The sequence below is a fragment of the Homo sapiens genome, chromosome 10 (genome assembly GCF_000001405.40).
Source record: "Homo sapiens chromosome 10, GRCh38.p14 Primary Assembly".
Lineage (NCBI taxonomy): Eukaryota > Metazoa > Chordata > Mammalia > Primates > Hominidae > Homo > Homo sapiens.
In genome coordinates, this window is record NC_000010.11 from 96,459,809 (window position 1) to 96,482,802 (window position 22,994).

The 22,994-nt window shown below is 46.7% G+C and overlaps 1 protein-coding gene across 1 annotated transcript in view; it reads right to left on the reverse strand.

Annotated features, from left to right (window-relative positions):
- The window catches only part of TLL2 (tolloid like 2), a 149,319-nt gene that overhangs the window by 95,201 nt on the left and 31,124 nt on the right, over positions 1-22,994 (reverse strand). Inside the window, exon 2 of the mRNA NM_012465.4 lies at positions 20,541-20,651. Within this exon, the coding sequence (NP_036597.1) occupies positions 20,541-20,651 (111 nt within the window). The remainder of the gene's footprint in view (positions 1-20,540; positions 20,652-22,994) is intronic.

Consider the following 22,994-nt stretch of genomic DNA (forward strand, 5'->3'; position numbering starts at 1 on the left):
AGGAGACATCACAGACACAGGGAAAATATGAAATAGATGGTACTGAGATTATTATTTAGAACTGGGGGGTATCAGTCCTACCCCAAAATAAAACCCAAATGGATTGAAAGAAAGTATAAGAAAGAAATTTCAAGTACAAATAAACCATATGGAAAAACTCTACCAAAAAATAAATTATTTCCCAAAGCTTCAGTAAGAATAATTTTTTTTAAGTTTAGAAGTTTAAGAAAATTTGGTTTGACATATTTAACTTCAAAAGCCTTAAAAGTTTGTATAAAATTTCAAAACCTTTGTATGTGTTGAGTAATTCCCCAAAATGAAAACAAACCACTCATATAAGGGAAAATACCTGCATTGAAGATAATAAATGATTACTATCCATATTATATAATTTGCCCATGCAAATCAATGAGAAAAACTTTGTATCCAATAGACGTATGGAGAGGGGAAATTGGCAAACACTTCACAGAAGAAATTCTAATTTAGTAGATGCTATATATAGACTGAATGTTTTTGTGCCCCCTCAAAATTCATATGTTGAAATTGTAACCCTCCAATGTGATGGTATCTGGAGGTGGGACCTTTGAGAGGTCATGAGGGATCAGTCCTCATGAATGGGCTCATGCCTGATATGGTTTGGCTTTGTGTCCCTTCCCAAATCTCATGTCAAATTGTAATGTCCGGTGTTGGAGGAGGGGCCTGGTGGGGTGTGATTGGATCATGGGGGCAGACTTCCCCCTTGCTGTTCTCATGATAGTGAGTGAGTTCTCACAAGATCTGATTGTTTAAAAGTGTGTAGCATTTCCCCCTTCTTTCGCTCTCTCCTGCCACCATGTGAAGATGTGCCTGTTTTCTCTTCGCCTTCCTTGTAAGTTTCCTGAGGACTCCCCAGCCACACTTCCTGTACAGCCTGTGGAACTATGAGTCAATTAAACCTCTTTTCTTCATAAATCGCCCAGTCTCAGGTAGTTCCTTATAGCAATGTGAGAACAGACTAATACAATGCCCTTATAAAAGAGACCCCAGAGAACTCTCTCATCCCTTCTGCCATGTGAAAACACCACAAGAAGATACCATCTATGAACCAGGAAGCAGGCGCTACCCAGAAACTGAACCTGCCAGCACCTTGATCTTGGACTTCCCAGCCTCCAGAACTGTGAGAAATCAATTTCTGTCATTTATCAGCCACCTAGTCTATGACATTCTGTTACCGCAGCCCAAACCAACTAAGAGAGTAGATAATCATATAGAAGACGTTTAGCCTTGAGAAATGAAGATAAAAGCAAAAACAAGATACCACTTTCCAGCTATTAAATTAGCAAAATAAAAAATTTAATGGTATGGCTCAATCATGAAGAGTCTGGTGGAAGTGGACTTTTCATTGTGTGAGCAGTTTATTCAGCAAGTTTATTATGCATCTAAAATGTGCCCATCACAGGACTAGGCACTGGGAATGCACCAATACATAAGAATTCACATACCTCAGGCAGAGTCCATGGTCCAGTGTGGGAGAAAGAGGAAGCAATGTGGGCATCCGGAGGCTGCCCAGAGAAGGGTTGACTGATCTGGATGGAAAGGCAGGAGGGGAGTGGCAAAGATCTTCCACACATGGAGGTGCGGATGAGGGCAGCCTACAGAGGGGAGGCACAAGGCCTCAGCCCAAGCTCTGCCTGAATCTGATCCCAGCACGCCTTTCCAACTTCTCTCCCCAACTCCCAGGACTCACCCTCCTGCCAACCACCCTGGACTCTACACTTCCTGTGCTGCTCAGTTCTCACTGCCAAATTCTCACCTCCATGCCTTTGTTTAGCCTCTGCCTTCCACCTGCAATGACTCCCCTGCACTGCAACCCTGATGAAAATCCTTCAAGGCCCACCTCAATCTCTTCCATGAAGCCATCTCTGTCCTCTGTGCTTCTTTTACATCTCTTCCAAGGCCTTGTGCTCATGCATTAATTCCCTCATTTGACAAGCTTCCATAGGGCACCTCTCTGTGCCAGGCACCATCCCAGGTGCCAGAGAGACAAAAGCGAATCAGATACAGTCACCACCCCCAAGGAGCTCCTGACACTCACCATATCAGTCCCATAGTATAATTCTGTGTGACCCCATCTATCACCCCTATAAGACGCTCTACTCCTTAAGAACTGGAGCAACATCCTCTGCATCTCCACCCACACGGTGTTCACAGCAGACGCTTACAAAATATGTCCAGGTGAAGTGGACTGAATTGGATTGGCCAGTACTTGCATATATTATCTCAGTTAATTCTCACTGCATCTGTGTGGGCCATTATTATTGTGAGGTATTATTATCTGTAAGTTATTATTATTGTTATCCCCATTTTACAGATGAGGAGACTGAGGCTCAATGAGGTAAAGTCCTTGGCCTGTGGTCACTGTGGTGTTTAGCACAGCTGAGAGGGTCTGCCTCCCTGCCCAGCCCTTTGCCTCATTGTTCCTTCCCCTAGTGTTCTAACAGGAGCAGAGATGGAGGATGAAAACCTCCAGACAGTGCAGAATATTCAGTGAGGTACTTTTGTCCTGCAGAAATAAGACACTGTCAATTCTCATTACTTGAAGTAGTTATGTTCTCTAAAGTTGTTGTGAGTAAATATCAGTGGCTGATAAATGACAGAAATTGATTTCTTATAGTTCTGGAGGCTGGGAAGTCCAAGTTCACTAAACTAGTGAACACCTAACCATTGCTCCCAGGAGATCAATATACACTCTAGTATAAAGTACAGTACTGTCTACTATATACTGCACAACATGTAGTGCTCTATACTATACTGGTCACAACATTTTCATCAACCGATAGATACATAACCTTGTTTTATGTGTGTTTCTGTTTAAAGACACCTAATTTAATATCTATCATTAGGTCATTAACATTGGATTCCCAGCCAACAGCACTATATTTATAACTCATGCCTGAATGAAATTTATCTAACAGAGGGACTTTCTCCATAAGGCACATCACAGCCGTCTTGCAATTAGGAACACCGCTAGTCAGCACTTCAGCACTATACTTGGGGGCCATGTTAAATAGCAAAATCACCAACAAAAAGCACAAAAATGCTTAAAATATGGCACTAAATATAGCACAAGAAGGACACTTGTTTACAGTATGTGAGTTGAAACAAGAAGGCAGATCATCCGGCCTCAGCTGGGAACATGCAAATTGGGAGACTCAAATTTTTCGTTGCTTTGCACATGTCTGTGAATAACCAAAAAAGTGCCATGAATATTGATTTTTAGGGTTACAAATAAATGTTTGCAAGTAGGCAAATTCACGAATATAAAATCTGTGAGGATCAACTGTACCTCACTAAAGAAAACAGAAGGGAGAGGTGTTCGATTTGATGGGCCCAAGGACCCCCATGTGGTTCCCGAAGCCAGCACTGATGGGCTTCTTACGGTCATGTCTTCCGAGGCATTGAGCCTGCAGCTTCCCACTGCGTCACAGCAGGAAAGCAAACGAACGCAGCAAACGAAGCCAGCTCTCAAGACCCAACGTTCATTTCAGAGTAATAAAGGAGAGCCCCTGAGAAAGGGGCCGGTCCTGGCCCATCAGCAGCAGGTAGTCAGGTATCGGGAAGGACCTGAAGCTGGGGCTCATGACCTGTGTTCTCCCAGCATGATGGACCAGACTTCGGGACCTCAGGCAAACCAGGGACTCCTCTGGGTCTCCATGTCCTCTGCTGTGAAAGGGCAGAAGGATCCTGTTCGGTTCCACAACTGACACAAATTAGAGTTGTGAGGGGGCTTCAAGCACCACCCAAATGCAAAATGCCTTTGCCAGGCTCCCAGGCAGGGGGAGGGGGACACTGGGGGTGATCCTCAGTGGCTGTGACAAGGGCATGCTGGGCCACCAGTGCACCCAGCTCCAGCTCCCTTGGGACCTTCGTCTACACATACAGGATGCCATCTAGCAGGGCAGACGCAGCTCACGGCCCCACATGGGAAGTGAACCTGTCACCTGGCCTCATTAGTTTTTCAGTTTGACCAAATGAGTAAAAACTAATAAATGGAAAACAGTCATCTACTAATAAGTGGACCAGCCAGGGCAGCAGAGCTGAGTCCTGTCAGGGCTGAACTGGGGCAGTGAAGTGGAGATCAGGACCCAGAGCCAACCAGGAATTCAAAGAAAGAAACGAAGAGAGGAACAAAACACCCAAGCCCTCTCTCACGGCACTGGAGGAGCATAGAGCTTTGAGGCAGGAGCCGAGAGCCTGCTGAATGGAGACCTTTTCTGTAGAAGCTGCCAGAACAGGCCAGGTACGGTGGCTGACACCTGTAATCCCAACACTTTGGGAGGCTGAGGCAGGAGGACTGCTTGAGTCAGGAGTAGGATTACTTGAGTCAGGAGTTCAAGACCAGTCTGGCCAACATGGTGAAACCCCATCTCTACTGAAAATACAAAAATTAGCCAGGTGTGGTGGTGTGCACCTGTAATCCCAGCTACTTGGGAAGCTGGGGCAAGAGAATCACGTGATCCCAGGAGGTGGAGGTTGCAGTGAGCCGAGATTGTGCCACTGCACTCCAGTCTGGGTGGCAGAGCCAGATTCCATCTCAAAAATAAATAAATTAATTAATTAAACATTAAAAAAAGAAGAAGAAACTGCCAGAACATGGAAAGATTCAATCTGTGAGCAGTCACAACTCTGGCTCCCCTACACCCTAGAATGTTGGCCTTGTGAGCGGCAGCAGTACAGACAGGGATGGATTACTCACTTAGCACGTGCCAGCCCGGGGCAGGAAGCAGAGTGCCCAGATGGCAATTAATCCAACAACTGTAAGCTCCCTGGAGGCAGAAATGGTATATTCCACCAAGGGTCTTGCACAGTGCTTAACATGATACTGCTTCTGTATCAATAGTGTCTACACCACCTGCTTTCAAACAAGCTTGCAATTCCTTTTAAGAGAAGACATATCCATAATACATGTTTTCAAATAGAAATAAAAATTCTTAAATGTAAACAGAAATGCAAATAAATATACCCCAAAATAAAGTTATACAGTTTGAGGACTGAACACTGAATTTAAATCTGAGCTCTGAAAAGCAGAAAGGGTTGCCTACACTCAGGGATTAAGTCTTTCTCACTACCTGATTTGTCCTTACAAAAAAATCTTAGGATTTTATCACATGGTCTTTGCATAAATGCAATAGATCCAATGAAGATTTACAGATGTCTCAGAAGGCAAGCCAGACTCATTAGGTCATAGAAAGAGTAGCAAGGAACTCAGGAGATCAAAGAAAGGAAGAGACCAACTCCAGTCCTCTCTCAGGGAACTGGAGGAGAGAGGCAGAAAGAGTAGCAAGGAACTCCACCCCCTGTCCTTGACCTTTGCGGGACAGATGTCAGCTCTGTTCAAGAAGAACTGCAGAGCAGTGACCTTAACTTTAAGAGACAATGTCGGTAAATAGAGGTTAAGGTAACCAGTGCTTTCCTGGGGGCTGGCATTTGTCAGTAAAATGCAATGGCCCGTTTGTTTTAGAGAAGTTAATATCTACTAATGTGGTCCCACCTCACTGATTGACTGGAGCAGGAAGAATCTGTCTGATGCTAGCACATGTGCAGGGCCATAAACCATCCCATGCAAAACACTGAGTGTGTCCTCTGTTTGCCTTTTCTGTGTCCCATCCTACCCCAGTCCCATCCAGTGCCCAGGACATGAGCATCTATATTACAACAGGTGATAGAGACTGAACCCTCAAGAAAAGGAAGAAAAGAGGCACCAGAAGAAGGATCTTCTTCCAGACTACCCAGCAATAGCTGAAGCTCTAGGATCCTCCTCCTTTAATGAGGAAGGGGAAAAACAGCCTTGACCAATGTCAGGGGACCTGAATTAGGACCCAAGGTGGTGCCTCTTACCCACTGGCCCCGTATGCATGCTCAAATACCTAGAGTTGGCAGGGGGACAGGCAGGCAGGGAGCACTGAAGTGAACGGGGTTGGGTGTGAAGATGAATAGGGAGTGGTGGGGACTGCGGCTCACCATGGAGTGCAACCTGTTGTTACGCAACTCTGTTGATCGTTGCCATGTGGGATTACTGGACCGGTGTGGCCAAATCTTCCAGCTTTTCAAGAGAAGCCAGAGTTCTGGATTTTTATGAGAAATCTGATTTTTAAATGTTGGCAGTAAATTAAAAAGATGTAAGCACTACAAAACAAACAAAACACATCTGCAGACAAGATTTGGCTGGCTGGTTGACCACACAGGACCTCTCGCTTGAAGGGGAATGGGAAAGTCATGCCTATAGGTGATGACAATGTCAGAGAAGAGAGGGATTCCTTGGACAATGGCAGCTAAGGTCCAGGGATGAAAGAAGAGACAGAGAACCTGGGGAGCAGAAAGCAAGTAGTAGCGGGAGCTAGAGGTGGGTGGGACCAAGTCCACCAGCTCAGTGCCAAGGCCAGCTGGGCCTTTCCTCAGTGTTTGTGGGCAAACAAGGCTCCTTAAAGAGGACCAAAGAGAAATAGGATGACCAGAACATGGAAGAAGATTCCAATGGCAACTCCACTACCATCATCACCTTCTCTCTCTGGATCTCCTTGGAAACCACAGAAATAACAACCTACAGACCTTGGTATAAACAGCTCCGGCAGAAATGCAGCTTTGTCTGGGCCATCATGCACTGGGTACCAGGATGGGGAGCCTCATCCCACTCACATCAGCAGCGTCCCACTGAGGCTCTTCAGGTTGTGTCCTCAGCCCTTATGGCCAGGCCTACTTGTCGGGTGCTCAGTTTCACACCCTTCATGCAGCCTGGGCTTTCTTCACCTCCTCTCTCCAGCCCACTGCTGTCTGTTGTTTTCTAAGAAGGGATAAAGGAAGCTCACAGCCACATCACTGTCAACACCTCTGGGAGCCCACTAGTGGGTCTCTGCAAGGTTCCTGGCTAGATATGATCTAAGCAGACTATTCTGAAGTTCCACGAGGCATCAAAGGAAGGAGAACCCAGACGTTGTGGTTATCTAATCAGTAATGTATGCAGCAGACACCATGTATCCAGTCCCCATTACACTCAGGGAATTTGGCAAAAGAACCAAAGGACTCATTCTTGGACCTCAGGAAGCTTAGAGTCCAGCACTCCATTTTATAGATGAGGAAACCGAGGTCCCCCAAGGTGAAGTAACATCTTCAAGGTCTGTCATGTCATAGGTAGCCCTAAGAATGGTGGCACTGGTTTTATAAAAAATTAGTTTAGTTCATTATCATGCCCAGTAAGAACATGTTTGAGCAGCAAATGCATTTGCAACAAAGGTCAGTTTCCAGCTGTAACAAAGTAGACCCATCTAAAAAGAGGTTAGGAAATACAAGAGCAAATATATATAGCTTTACAAAAACTAAGATGCTAAGTTTAAAAATTTAGGGATTTGGGGGAGGTATTTTTTTAGAAACAGCATCTTGCTTTGTCACCCAGGCTGCAGAGCAGTGGCTCACCGCAGCCTGGAAATCCCAGGCTCAAGCACAATCATAGCTCACCATACAGCCTGGAAATCCCGGGCTCAAGCACTCCTCCCACCTCAGCCTCCCAAGTAGCTGGGATTACAGATATATGCCACCACACCTGGCTATTTACTTTTACTTTTTATTTTTGTCAAGACAGAGTCTTGCTATGTTCCCCAGGCTGGTCTCAAACTCCTGGCCTCACGTGATCCTTCTGCCTCAGCCTCCCAAAGTGCTGGGATTACAGCTGTGAGCCACCATGCCTGGCCATAAAAGATCTTTTATTTTGTCAACAAGAATTCACCACAGTGTTCTTATAAGTCATGGTAAGAAACATTTTTTCTATATATGACACTATACTGCGAAAATGTATTGGAGGCTACATAAGTAAAAAGCCTTTAGTAGGGTTTATTTCATTTCATTCTGCTTTAGATATCAACTACTATTTAAGAACAAGAAACATAGAACTCCATTCAATAAATACAAACAAAAATACATACACAGTTTAAAAAAGGAAGAGTGGAATCAGATTAAGAAAAACCAAAAGGGGGATGCTTGAGAGGCTGAGACACAGTCTTTCTGTTGGTCAAAGCTGAGAGGCCAAAGACTGAATCCTCAACTGATACATATGATACACGTGATCCCCAGCACTCATGAGACTGTGTCCCCAAGTTCCATGTATTAAGATGGCTGGTGAGAACTCAAAGTATTTTCCCATGACAACAGCATTATAAATGGCCATGTGGGGGTGGTACTCCCAGGCTTGGTCCTTAAAGCCAGGTGAACTCAAAAGGAAGCTGGGCTACCCCGGGGGTCAGTTCACTCGCCCATCACCTCCCCAAACCAGAAGCTTCTCCCTCATTCATTCATTCTCTTGCGCCACAGACGTGGACCTACCATCTGCTCCCATTATTACTTCATTTCCACGTCCTCCCTCCCCAGCACGCCTTGTCAGCCTTCTGCTTCGCTCATTTTATAACCCCCTCCCTTAGAGATCTCTTCCATTCTCAGAACTCCCACAGTGCCTTACATAGGTAGCTGCCGGAGGCATTCAGTAGGGGACACTGCAGCCAAGGGATCATGACAGAGGCTCCAGCAGGCTGGCCATGAGGGGCAGGTGCAAGAAGAGGAGACAAAACAAAAATGAGAGGTACTTCGTGGCCCCTGAGAAGAGAGATCAGCCTTGCTCCTTTCTCTCCAATTCCTAGTCCAGTCCCCAAGAGGCCAGTTCTACTCTGCCTCTGTTCTTATAGGGCCACGAGAATATACTCTTAAAAGACGCTCCTCTATTTGAGCTATCTTGAGTGGGATTCTGTATCTCACAACTAAAGAGCCTTGGCTAGAACGTCAGGTACTAAACTCTTGTTTGTCCCAATTTCTTAAGCTCATCTCCCAATTTTGATTCAGGCTCTCAGGTTCATGGTTCATGAGGATACCCACTCCCTGGATGGACACTCAAGAGGAGGCACCACCCTTGCCCCACCTGGCCCTGCACCCCACCGTGGCCCCAGGTGGAGTCCCAGCCCAGCTTCTCCAAATCCTGACAAACACGCTCGTAATGAAAATTAACTTAAAGGTGAATTTGCTTTTCCCAACACTTCAAGTTCTCAGTGAACTCTGGCTTCAATCCAAGGTATAAGTCAGCCCCTGAATGAGGCCCTGGAGGATGAGATGATCAACTCCTTATGCTGCATTCTTTTTCCTTCCCAAAGAGCAGATGTGCACGTTATCAGATGCCTCCTTATCATCTCAAATCATCTCACTAAATTCAAAACTTCATGGGTGGAATAACTGCCAGGCTGCGCCTGGTTCCTGTGCTGACATCCCCCTCCTTTCCAGCTAGCACCTGCTGATTGCTTTCTGCGGGCTGAGCCCAGCCCTGGCTCTGGGGCCAGCCCTGTCCTCTGACAGAGGGATTTCAGGGGTTTGGACTCAACACACGAGAGTCTCAGCAGCACACTACCCTTCCCTCCGGTCTGACTCTGACCTGGGCTCCGATATTGACTTGTGGATTTCTGTATTATTTCTGACTCTTGCAGCCATCTTATTCTCTCAGGCCAGCTCTCTGCTTTCCTCCCTAATCCTTACTTCCTACAAGAACCAGTCGCTCTTGCCTTGTTCTTTTGAGCTCCCAGCATGGAAGAAGAAGCCTGCTTACAGCCTTTCTGATGGGATTTGCCTGGGTCTCTGGCCCACACACCCCAGCCTCCCTGTGTCTGTGCCTCTGCTCTGCCTCTGGTGGGGCCCTGTGCACCCAGGCTGGACCCCCACCACCAGCCTCCCGCCTGGGTGACAGCTGTCACCTGGGGCCTTCCCCGTAGGTGTGGGGGAAGCCTGCCATGAGAGGGCAGTGGCTCCCCCAACCCAGTGGGGGCTTTGATCCCAGATCCCACCCTCCAATCTGACCCATTCCTCCAGTGCTCCCAGAGCACGACAATCATCACTCCCATCTTAAAAACACAATCTCCTTAATGGTGGGAGAAAAAGTGGTTACTGCTGTATCCTTGGTGCTGAGCACAGAAGAGGTCCTCAATTAGCATATTTTACATAAGGAAGGAGAGATAGAGAGAAAGCAATTCTAATCATGAATTTGGCATCAGAGAGGCAGCAGAGCTGTGGGGTCGATCCCAGGGAAGAGTGTGGGGAATGACAGGCTAGGAGGGCACCATGTGAAGATCAAGTTCTGACCGGTGGGAGCCAAGAACTCTTGTGGGCGGGGCAGGGTGATGATGAGGGCCAGCTGGACACCCCCAAAGGTCTGAGAAAGAAAGACTGAAAGTCCACAGAGACCCCAGCAAGCTCTCCCCGGCTTGCAGACCTAAGGACCACATTTTCCATCTGAGAATCTGTACAAAGGGCCCTGTAAAGAGAAGCTAATGACCACATGGCTAAAGGGTCTCCTTTCCAGACACTCTCTGCAAGGTGATGTGGGCCTGCCCAGCTCCATCCCTGAGCCTGAGAATTTCTCTTGCTGCTGGTACCCATCCCCAGCCGGGGGTCAGAGGCATCACACATTCAAACAATCCATCCTACCCCTGACAGCCTCATGGGGGAGCAGGAGAGCAGGCAAGGCCATCAGGCAGTCTTGAGCCTCCTGGCTCCATCCACAGTTCACACGTGTTTGTCTGACACCACTGATGTGCCCAGCCTGATGCTGGAATAAAAGAAGAAAGGCCAGACTGTCACTGCTGTTGACAGACTGGTTGATGGGTCGGGCAGATGCTGAATAAATAATAGCAGGCAGGATGAGGTTTAGCACCCATAAGCCTGCAAAACACATCCTGTGCACCCCCAGCACCTCTCTAGGGGAGTGATGGAGAGCCTAAGTCGTCAGCAGCTCAAGGGAACAGGGTTAGAAGTGATGCCAGTGTCTGTTTCTAGAAGCAATGGAGTGTAGGAGCTAAACACAGGGCCTCTGACACTTCAAAGACTAGAGTCCTAATCTTGGCTCTGCCAATGATTAGCTGTATGCTCACCAACAGCTTACTTACCTCTCTGAAAATTCATTTCCACACCTACACGTACTAATAGTACCTACCACATAGAACTGTTGTGTGAAGATTAAATAAAATCATGTCTATAAAGCATTTAGCCCATAATTGACATAACAAATGGTACTTGTTCTCATTCTTTCACTGTTACTACTAAAGAGGAACCAGCATTGAATCCATTCTCAGATCCCTCTCTGGCCAACTTTGTGATGACCCCAGAGTGTGGCTCAGGACAACTTGGGAAGTCTTTTTTTTTGAGGGGGGAGACAAAGTTTTGCTCTGTTGCCCAGGCTGGAGTGCAAGTTGTGCGATCTCAGCTCACTGCAGCCTCTGCCTGCCAGGTTCTAGTGATTCTCCTGCCTCAGCCCCCTGAGTAGCTGGGATTACAGGTGTTTGCCACCACACTTGGCTAATTTTTTTTTGTATTTTCAGTAGAGATGGGGTTTCACTATGTTGATCAGGCTGGTCTGGAACTCCTGACCTCAAGCAATCCACCTGCCTTGGCCTCCTAAAGTGCTGGGATTACAGGCGTGAGCCACCGCACCCGGCCACTTGGGAAGTCTTTATGTTGGAGATTGATTCAGAGATTTCCCATGTGCTGGTTGGAATCCAAATCCAAGCATCTGATAGAGCACACTGATACAGGCCCTGCTCCAGAGTCCCCTGCAGGTTCCGGAAGAGTACTAAAATGAAGAATTCCAAGAGACTTGGACACTTAGGAAGCATGGGATTTGGGACACAGAAGTTGGGGGTCGCATAGAGAAGAGAAGACAAGAGAGCCAGCAAAGGGCCAACCCTGCGGGTATTACTGTTATTATTTTTGGTGTCAGACGCTGGAATAAGTGTTTTACGTGTCACACTTATTTAATCCTCGCTGTGAGGCAGGTACTATTATTCCATCTTACAAATAAGGAATGAGTTGCCCTGAGTCCCACAGAGAATCAGTACAGAGCCAGAGACGCAAACTCAGGCCTGCTGGGCTCCGACACCCACGTCTTCCCACACTGCAGCCCTCCAAGGTCCTGATGCCCATGGTCGCAGCTCCAACAGTGGGGAGGCACACCAAAGACAGGACTGGGGTCAGAATTTCGTAACTTGAGATCCATGGATCTCAATCTGAAAACTGCAAGCACGATTGTGTGTGTGTCTGTGTGCGTGCGTGTGTGTGTGTACCTACGAGAAGGTTCATAATGTTCGTCAGATTCTCAAAGGAGTCTGTGAATCTCAAAATGTCACGCACAACATACTTAGAGAAAAGAGGCCACCAGGACCTTCTTCTCTGGACCCCCTCCTCACCTAGCTTTGGAGGAGACAGAGGAAAGACAGGGATGTGTAAGAGAGCTCCCTGATGGGCCCCTGTGACTCTTCAGATTTCCAAACCTGTGGCCCTGGCAGCAGAGGCCCTGAGATTTCTCAGAGATGGCACTTGGCAATGCATGACGTGAGAGAAGACAGACTTGAATCCAATGAACTGGCCCAGCAAGAGTCCAGCCTGACGTTCATTCACAAAATCGAGACATCGTCCCTTCTGTAGGATATCATAGGGAGCCCCCCACTGACCCATTCTCATTTGGACACTTGGCAGTCAGTAGCACTCCTACCCCAACAAATAAAACTAGTGAAATGAGGAAGCCATGTCTACAAAGCTTGGGGAATGTCTGCACAGGGGCAGAGGCTGAAAAATCACAGCCCCATCTATAAGCTCTCTCAAGAGCCTCAAAGTTGGGCTGAGTGCAGTGGCTCGCACTTATAATCCCAATACTTTGGGAGGCTGAGGCAGGAGGATTGCTTGAGCCCAGGAGTTCAAGACCAGCCTGGGAAACAACATGACATCTCGTCTCCACAAAAAATACAAAAATTAGCCAGGCACGGTGACATGTGCCTGTGGTTCCAGCTACTCAGGAGGCTGAGGTGAGAGGATGGCTTGAACCCAGGAGGTTGAGGCTGCAGTGCACCACTGCACTCCAGCCTGAGTGACACAGCAAAATCCTGTCTCAAAAAAAAGAAAAAAAGAAAAAAAAGCTTCAAAGTTAAAAATATGCTGGGAACAGAAACATGTTGGATCTCTTTTTAGAGCCTCAAACCTTGGAAAGCAGAGCCCAGAAACCCTAAATCCAAGTTCTCTGATTCTGGACATTGGGTATCTCTTGGGTATGCACTGGTGTTCAATGCCTACCTTTAGCCCTGTAATGCCTGATAGCCTTTGGTTCCCCTCTTTTCTTTAGCCTGAAACACCAGCACTCAAATCCAGAGCTCAAACTGGCTTGAAGGAAGTTAGAATGTGGTTCCATCAGCCCCCCCCAATCAGATGGGAACACTGAGACCAGGTGAGAGTAATGTGTGCCACTCAAAGTCATGGACAGAGTACAGATAGGAACTCTAGGAACCAAAGGGTCTGTGGGTAAAGAAAGAATCCAAGCCTGGGCGTGTTGGCTAATCCCTGTAATCCCAGAACTTTGGGAGGCTGAGGCAGGTGAATCACTTGAGATCAGGAGTTCGAGACCAGCCTGGCCAACGTGGTGAAACCCTGTCTCTACTAAAAGTACAAAAATTAGCTGGGCATGGTGATGGGCGCCTGAAATCCCAGCTACTCAAGAGGCTGAGGCAGGAGAATTGCTTGAACCAGAGATCATGCCACTGCATTCCAGCCTGGGCAACAGAGAGAGACTCTGTCTCAAAAAATAAAATAAATACAATGAAAAAAGAAAGCGTCCCCATGATTCAGAGACAGGGCCCAGAGAGGGGACATGTCTCAGAGTCTCTCCTGCTAATGTATTATTTTAAACCCAATACCTAAACTGTTGGGGTTATGCAGACATCCTACACAGATGGCAGGAGTTTAGGAAGTGAGGATTTAGAGCAAGGTTGATTTCTTAAATAGAGATGGACATGGCCCCGTGGCTCAGAATAGATGAGGCGGGAAACATCAACTTCCATCCGAGCCAATAAGTAATTAAAACCATTTCCCCTTTTAAAGTCCTCATTACAAACATCAAGAAATCAGATCCAGATTTCCTTTTCAGGTACATTTACAAAGATGGATGTGCCCAACGCAGACTTCCTGGACTCTTTGGGGAACAAACAAACAAACAGAAAGTTCAAAGCATCAGCCACACAGGCTTCTCCTCCACATCTCCTGTGGCTAACAGGAGAGGTGTCTAAGAACTCAGGAATGGGGCTGTCAGGTTCAGCCACTCTCGTATCGAAAAGGGTGCAAGAGGGTCGGAAAGTGTATGCGCGCCTGTGTGTGTGTCTGTGTGTGTCTCCCACTAAGTACTTCCTTCACTACACAGCTAATCCGATTAGCAGCTTTAGGAAACTCTGTAATGTTAATTCAAGGGCCCCATTCATAGAACAGCGTGGCCAATGCCTGCCCAGGACTCCCATTCTTCTCACTGCAAATAAAATGCACACAGAAGACTTTCTTTCCCTGAAGAATCCTTTCTTGCCGCCTTGCCCCCACACACATCCAAAATGCGGCTGCCACATCCTCCAGCAGCCCCATGACAAGGGAATGGGCCCATCGGAGAATGGGGGAGAAATAGCAGTTCTCTCCATCCCAAGCACAAAATGTGGCCAATTTTAATAGCACCATCTACCCAGGCCATCTCCCCAAGCTGGGAGGCATGCAGAGCAAAGAGGCATCACAAATGCAGCTGGGTAGAGATGGATAAAGAGGCTTGAATGGGTCATCCAACCTTTCTGGGGGTCTTCATTTCCTTATGTGTAGAATGGGGACTTTGAGCAGAGGGAGCAGCTAGAACAGAGGCTGTAAGGAAGGAAACTGGGGGCCTGCACAGGCACATCATTGCATTTGGCTAGAGGACCAGGAGTGGGAAGAGAGGCTGGATACACAGGTTGTGGACATAGCATGAAGGGCCTTAAGAGTCCGACCAAGGAATGTTTCTAATAAGCAAGGGGGAGCTATTGAAGGCTCTAAACAGCACAGCAGTATTCGTTTCCTAGGACTGCCATGCAATCTACAACTGAGTGGCTTACAACAGAACTCTATTCTCTCACAATCCTGGAGGCTAGAAGTCTGAAGGCCAGGTGTTGGCAGCATTCTCCCCAAATGCTCTAGGGGAGAATCCACCTTTGTCTCTGCTTAGCTTGCGGTGGCTCCTGGCAACCCTGGTGTTCTTGGCTTGTGGCTGCATCACTTCAATCTCTGCCTCTGTCTTCACATGGCCTTCTCTGTCTGTCCTCTTCTTTTCCTATAAGCATGTCAGTCAATAGATTTAGGATCCACCCTAAATCCAGGAGGATCTCATCTCAAGATCCTTAACTAATTAGATCTGCAAAGATTCTATTTGCAAATAAGATTACATTCTGAGGTTCCAGGTAGACATGGGTTTTGGGAGGACCCACTACAGTGGTCACAAGGTTGCCAGAAAGATAAGCTAGAAGCAGAACGGAGTAAGAGAGACTAGAGGCAGGAAGACAAATTGGCATGAAATCAACACAGCTCGTGGCCCCAAGTGAACAGAAGACATGCTCCCTGCTGTGAATCCTAAAGCTGTCAGTGGCTTTTTGTGGACACTGCAGTGCACTAAGTGGGCTCTTAAGCCAACCCAGGCATAAGGTCTTGCCTCACCATTGGCACAGAAAGACTCCAGCCTACTTTACAAGTGACAACAAAGGAATAACCACCTGCACTCTTGTTCTCAGCTCCTCTAGCTGGCAATATGATGGGCAGGTTGGTAAAGTAGAAGACACAGCAACCCTGGAGTTGACAAACTTGGGTTCTAGTCCTGATTCTGCTACTGAATAAATTTGGGCACATCTAGCAAATGAGGCTGACTGGGTCACCTCTAGGGCAACTGACATGGTTTCCTTCTGCAGCCAAAAAAGCAGTGCCAAGATCACAGGATAAACAGGCAAAGGAGGCCTCTGGGGTTGCACTGCAGGGTTCTGGGCCCTTCCCCCCATGTCTCCCTCCAGGGACCTCAGACCTCTCCCCTTGAGCCCTCTCCCTACCCTCCAACAAAAGAAACAGGATGGCTCTGTGTCCCCACCCAAATCTCATCTTACAGCTCCCGTAATTCCAAGTGTTGTGGGAGGGACCCAAAGGGAGATGATTGAATTATGGGACGGGTCTTTCCCATGCTGTTCTCATGATAGTAAGTGGGTCTCACGAGATCTGACGGGTTTAAAAATGGGAGTTTCCCTGCACAAGCTCTCCTTGCCTGCCGCCATCCACACAAGATGTGACTTGCTCCTCCTTGCCTTCCACCATGATTGTGAGGACTCCCCAGCCACGTGGAACAGTGAGTCCAATTAACCCTCTCTCTTTTGTAAATTGCCCAGTCTCGGGTACACCTTTATCAGCAGAGTAAAAATAGACTAATACACAGAGGCACTTACCAAAGCTTGGAAATGAGATTAACTTGCATCTAAGAATACATCTTCCCACACATTTGGAAGTAGGAAAAGAGGATAAAGGTGTGGTTCCTTTTTAATTTTATATGTATATATATATATATATATTTTATTTTTGTTGTTGTTGTTGTTGTTGAGACGGAGTCTCACTCTGTCACTCAGATGTAGTGCAGTGGTACGATCTTGGCTAGTGAAATCGTACTAGCAACCTCCACCTCCCGGGTTCCAGCAATTCTCCTGCCTCAGCCTCCAAAGTAGCTGGGACTATAGGCACCCACCACCATGCCCGGCTAATTTTTGTATTTTTTAGTAGAGACAGGGTTTCACCATGTTGGCCAGGCTGGTCTTGAACTCCTGACCTCAAGTGATCCGCCTGCCTCGGCCTCCCAAAGTGCTCGGATTACAGGTGTGAGTCACCGCACCTGGCCTGTGATTTTTAAAATTAAAACAAATGTTTAAAGATACATGCAGAAAGTTATTTATAGAAACATTGCTTCTAAGAGGAAAAAAAAATACAGAAAAAAAATGGGAAACAATCTTCACATTTATCTATAATGGCTTAGTTAGGTAAATCATGGCAGAGTTGCACATTGAATCACTACTGCCGTTAAAATAAGAGAGACCACAACGTGCTGCATGACAAGATGTCCATGATAAAGTGTTAAGTAAAAAATTCAGACAACACCAAAGCACATTGAGTAAAATCCCTAATCCCTTTTATGTTACACACACACACACACACACACACACACACACACACACACGCAAACATGCACACACACAGCCTGAGCACATTAAGTCTGGAAAGAATCCAGCAAACTGGTAATGCCAGGGATCTTTGGGGCTGGGATAACAGGGGATTTTCATCTTCCACTTTATACAATTATGAGCTACTGGACTTTTTTTTTTTTTTTTTTTTTTACAACAAGCAGCATTAGTTTAATCAACAAAAACAATAAAAAATATTCCCATTCTGACGATAAAATAACTATTCATACTATTCTAGGTAGACGCAAAGTACTATTGGACCTCAGAGAAAAATGATCAGGATAAAAATCACTTTGCCATAAAAACACACTAGAAAAAAAAATATCAAGCTTGGGAAGGAAGAAACACCAAGTATGATATATATTTCAAAGGCCTCATTCCTAAGGCCCCACATTCCCTATGTACACAGCAAATTTCCCTCATTCTCCACTTGTTTTAATTTTAATTTTAATTTTTTTTTTTTTTTGAGACAGAGTCTTGCTCTGTCGCCCAGGCTGGAGTGCAGTGGCGTGATCTTGCTCACTGCAGCCTCGATCTCCCAGGCTCAAGCGATCCTCCCACCTCAGCCTCTCAAGTAGCTGGGACCACAGGGGTGAATGCCCAGCTCCCCACTCTCCACTTTAATCGTAAACCCTCCCAGGTCAGTCTTCTCTCTGCAAATATTAATAATAATGAGGAGGAAGCAGATGAAATGTATTAAGCATTTGTTATGTGCCAGGCACTGTGCTAAGCACTTTGCACATATTCTTTCTTTTCATCCTCGCAGCATTACTCTGAGGTAAGGATTATTGCTATTTGCATTTGACAGATGAAGAAACTGAGGCCCAGCTTAAGGATGCAAGTCCAGGCAGTCTGACCCAAAGCCTGTGACCACGGTCAGCACTCTCACCACCCTTCTGGGAGCAAAGCCCTGCTGAGGCTCTGGATCTCTAAGGCCCTGGGAGACGGCTCCAGGGTCTGCCATCTTCATCTGCCTCCATCTCCTCTCTGCTGATGTTGGCCAGCACCTTCTGGGTACAAGGTCCTGGCCCAGACTCTGGGGGATCTAAATCCAGGCAGGATGTAGGCTCTGTGCTCTATCAGCTCTATCAGCTCACTGGAGAGAAGGGAGAAGACAGGCCTCCAAATTCTTAGGTCATGTCCACCTTGAGCAAGTGGCATGAGGGAGAAGGCAGGGCTGCTGGGCTTCCTCCACCACAGCATCCTCAGGCAGCCTTCCCTCAACACAACCCTCTAGCAGCCGGGTATGCAGCTGGCGTGGTGGCTGGCCACTGCCCTGCCTCTCTTTGGGGTCTCTCACTCCCATCTGCCAACCTTGGGCCCCCAAGGACAGCAGGACAGCTGAGAAAGGCAACCCTGAGCATTCTTGATGGTGGGCCGGCGTCAAGCCAGTGAGACCCAAACCGGGGAGACCAAGACTCAAAGCCTTACTGGATCCTGCACAGACACCACTCCTGTCTTCTAAATGAGTATGCACCCACTTAGAGCGTAAAGTGGTACAACCACTTTGGAGAACTCTACGACAGTACCTACTAACGCTGAACTGTGTGTGCCCTATGACCCAGCACCCCCACTCCTGGGCACAGGCCCAGTGGAAATGAGTGCTCGTGTTCACCAAAACACTACGTCCAAGAATGACTGCAGCAGCTTTATTTATCGTAGCCCAAACCACAAACTGCCCACATGTCTGTCAACTGAAGAACAAATAAACCAGAGTCCGTTCATACAATAGAATACTGCATAACAATGAAAAAGAGCAACACGGCAATGTGAGTGAATTTCAGTCACAGGCTGCACAAAAGAAACCAGACACAGTAATACAGACTGTACGACTCCATGCAGGTAAAAGGAGTCTGGGGTGATAGAGGTCAGACCAGTGGCTACTTTGGGACACGTATTAACTGGGAGGGATGTGAGGAGTCTCTGGGGTCTGGAATGTTCCTTATCTTGGTGTGGGTGGTGGTCCCATGGGCGTGTACATATGTAAAAGTTCATCATGCTGTATGTTTGAGATACATGAAGTTCACTATTTTTAAGTAACACCATCAAAAAAGTTTTAAAACTATTTTAACTACACATACAAGATTACAGTCAGGTCAGCTTCTCCAGGCCTCCAGGTAAGAGCTGGGGAGAAAAGTGTGATTAGATGGAGTGGTAGAATTATGCAAAGATGCTTCCTTTAGTAAGAGCTTAAGTAAAGTTCTGAATATATTGGTATTAAAAATAATTGAAAACTCCATTTAAAATGTGAATAGAATTTCAAACCTTATACGAGACCTCAAAAATCCTAAGAAATGACACTCATGAAACAAGACACCAAAAAGAAATCCTAAAGTACATAATTGCCCCACCTTCCTCCCAGCCACTGGCGATGAGGTCCCCGTGACCTCCTGGCAATGTCAGCCCTCATCCACCAACCCCTGCAGGGAGCTTTGAAGGCAGGTCCCTGTAGCTGCTCTGGTTCCTCATGAACCGTGGGAGGTGCCCCTGCCCTGGGCACATGCCCACACATTTCCCTCCAGGTTCCAGAGATCTTCCTGGATGTCACCACATACATGAGCAGCCTGGAAGAGGGGTTGCCTGATACAACCCTCCCCCCAGCACCATCCCCACTGCAATCAGCATAGTGAAGCTGCCCAAGCAGGCAGCCAGGAACCCAGCACCCCAAGGGCACCTGGTGGGCTGCAGAGAGCAGTGGGAGAGGAGACTCCATCAAGGCACCCCTGATTTCAAGATGAGCAAGTCATGCTCCTGTTCACCAGAACCCCTACAGCCCAGTGGGCAAAGCCCAAGCTCATGAGTTCAACAGGCAAGCCCTTCACTGTCTACCCCAGCTAACTTCTCCAGACACATCTCCTGCCACAGCCCACCCCAAAGGGCTGCCCTCCAGTGACTTGTACCTTACCTCTGTTCCTCAAATAAGGAGAGTCCCCCCATACTTTCTGCCTTTGCAAAAGACTCTCCTTCCACCTGAAGAGCCCTTTTTTCCTACTCAGGACTCCTACTCACCCTTCAAGACACCACACACAAGTGCCCATTCACATGACACCAGGCAGGCTTCTCCACTCACTCTCTGTCTTCCCACTGCTCTTGGTTTCTCACACACTTGCTATGAGGTGTTATGGTTTTCTGTTTACATTTCACTTGACTCTCCAATCTGGAAAGTGCTGAACCCCGAGGCCAGAGTCCTAAGAACAAATGCCGAGCTCCAGCCTGAACCCTCTGATAAAGAGGCAAATGGAGATTTTCTTAGATGAATCAGCAAACTTGGAAGCCCCAGCTCCACTGGCTCCAGTGGAGAAGGAGAAGTGACCCCTCTGATTTTCCACAAATAGGGGGGCATTAGACTAGCAAGTCAAACACCGATGACTCGTGGACCACATCTCCCCCTGCTGAAGTCCCTCATCCCTCCCATCTGGGCAGGAGAAGGGAGGAAGCAGTACCTACCTGTGCTGTGTCCTGTTGCCCCCACTGTCTGCTTGGTCCAGTCTCTGGCTTTGTCAATGTGAAACAGCTTCAAGTCATCTTCATCTAAGGCAATGTCTCCCCAAAAGACAGCTGGGAAGGAAACACATAAGTGGGTGAATTTATGCTAGAAGTCAAGAAAAATGGATTCACTAATGCCCCAAAGGGCATTGGGTGTTGGGTGGTAAACTTTGGAAAAGACAGCCCATCCAGTAAAATTTCTCCTTGAGCCTAAGAGATAGGGCTGGTGGAGGCAGAGGAACAGCAGGTATTAGTTCTGTGCAGCCTGGGGCTGTGCCAACCACCATGAAAATCCAAATCCTAAGTCTGTAAGGTATTTTGAAAGGTCACCTGTCTTGTCCTCGCTCTAGGCAGCTCTGAGCAAAACTACCACAAAAAGACAGCTGCTTCTTTCTTCTTTATGGTCCCCAAGATGTAGAAGAAAACGAATAATGTGATAAATTATACTGTTGCTCATAATTTTTGTTGCCCTTCCCTGGGGAAAGATTATAGCTCACTGCCCCATTGGTGTCAGGATTGGCCACACAGCCTGCTCTAATTCAGTGTGAGCAGAAGCTTTAAGAGCTAGTGCATGATTCACTGCATCCTCTTTGCCCTGTCCCAGAAGACAAGCAATGTTCCAGATGGGGTTCATCTGGGTTCATGGGGATCACCCTAGGTTCTGGAATAAAGATGATGTATAGCACAGTGTGGCTTATCAGGATGGATATGCAGCATGGATTAAAAAATGAAAACACTGTTTTTTTTGTTGGGGGATGGATTTTTTTTTTTTTAAGAGAGACAGAGTCTTGCTCTGTAGCCCAGTCTGGAGTGCAGTGTCACGATCATAGCTTACTGCAACCTTGAAAGCCTGGGCTCAAGCAATCCTCCCACCTCAGCTGCCCAAGTAGCTAGGACTCCAGGCATGTGACACCACGCCTGGCTAATTTTATAATTTTTTTTGTACAGACAGGGTCTCGCTATGTTGTGCAGTCTCAAATAATTCTCCTGCCTCGGCCTCTCAAAACACTGGGATTACAGGTGTGATGTTGTTTTCATAATCTTCTGAGATTCATGGGCATTCATTACTGGAGCACAGTCTCTTTATCCTCACTAATACAGAAATTGCTATCAGAAATAGTATGTTCTGTAACAAAAATCCATTGCCTTTGGGCCAGGTGTCAAGGAAACTGTTACTAGAGGCTGAAAGGAAGTCATCTCTATGTTATGCAGTGACGGTGACGAAGTATTTAGTCAAAGTGTTGCCTGCCTTCACTCGGAAGGCAGATGATGAACTGAATGCGCTATGGTTTCAAATGAAGACATGGACTAAGAATGCTGATAGCATGCCTTGGTTGTTATTAACTATGTTTGACAAGGTTCTACAAGAAAGAAACAGGCTCGAAAATGACAATTTTTATAAGAATGACAAAGAATAGAGAGTCCAAAACTTCAGGGTCTTAGAAAGTTGGAAGAGCTAACCTATCCTCATAACTACAGAAAAAAAGAAAGCTGAGAACTTCGAGTAACAGAGGTTGATGAAAATTCAGCATTGTAGTGTCAAGAACAGCCTTTATGGAAAACTGGAAGGTTCTCTAAAAAGTAACTTAGCCAGGTGCGGTGGCTCACGCCTGTAATCCCAGCACTTTGGGAGGCTGAGGCAGGCGGATCACGAGGTCAGGAGATCGAGACCATCCTGGCTAACACGGTGAAACTCTGTCTCTATTAAAAATAGAAAAAAATTAGCTGGGCATGGTGGCGGGCGCCTGTAGTCCCAGCTACTCCAGAGGCTGAGGCAGGAGAATGGCGTGAACCCGGGCGGCGGAGCTTGCAGTGAGCCGAGATCGCGCCACTGCACTCCAGCCTGGGCGACAGAGCGAGACTACGTCTCAAAAAAAAAAAAAACGAAAAAACCTGAAAACTTAAATTTATCGTGAGACCCAGCAATTCAACTCCTAGGGATCTTTCCAAAAGAAATGAAAACACATGTTCATACAAAGACATGCTCAAAGGTTTATGGCAGCCTTCTTTCTAATAGCCCTAATCTTGAAACAACTTACATGTCCATCAGCTGTTGAATGGATGAACACAACGTGGCATATCTATACAACAGAACTATGTAGCAATTAAAAGGAACAAACTATAGACACAGGCTCCAACGTGTATGAATCTCAAAAACATCATACGAAATGAAATAACTGTTGCCAAACACTACATATTATATGATTCAATTGATATGAAATGTCTACAAAAGGCTAATTTATAGAAGTAGAAATATTTGTAATTGTTTAGGACTGGGGGCAGAAACAAGGATCGACTGTAAATGAACATGCAGAAATTTGGGGGTTGCTGGAAATGCTCTAGAACTGGATTGTAGTTATGGTTACACAATTATAAATTTACTAAAATCGCATGTACACTTACAATAAGTGAATT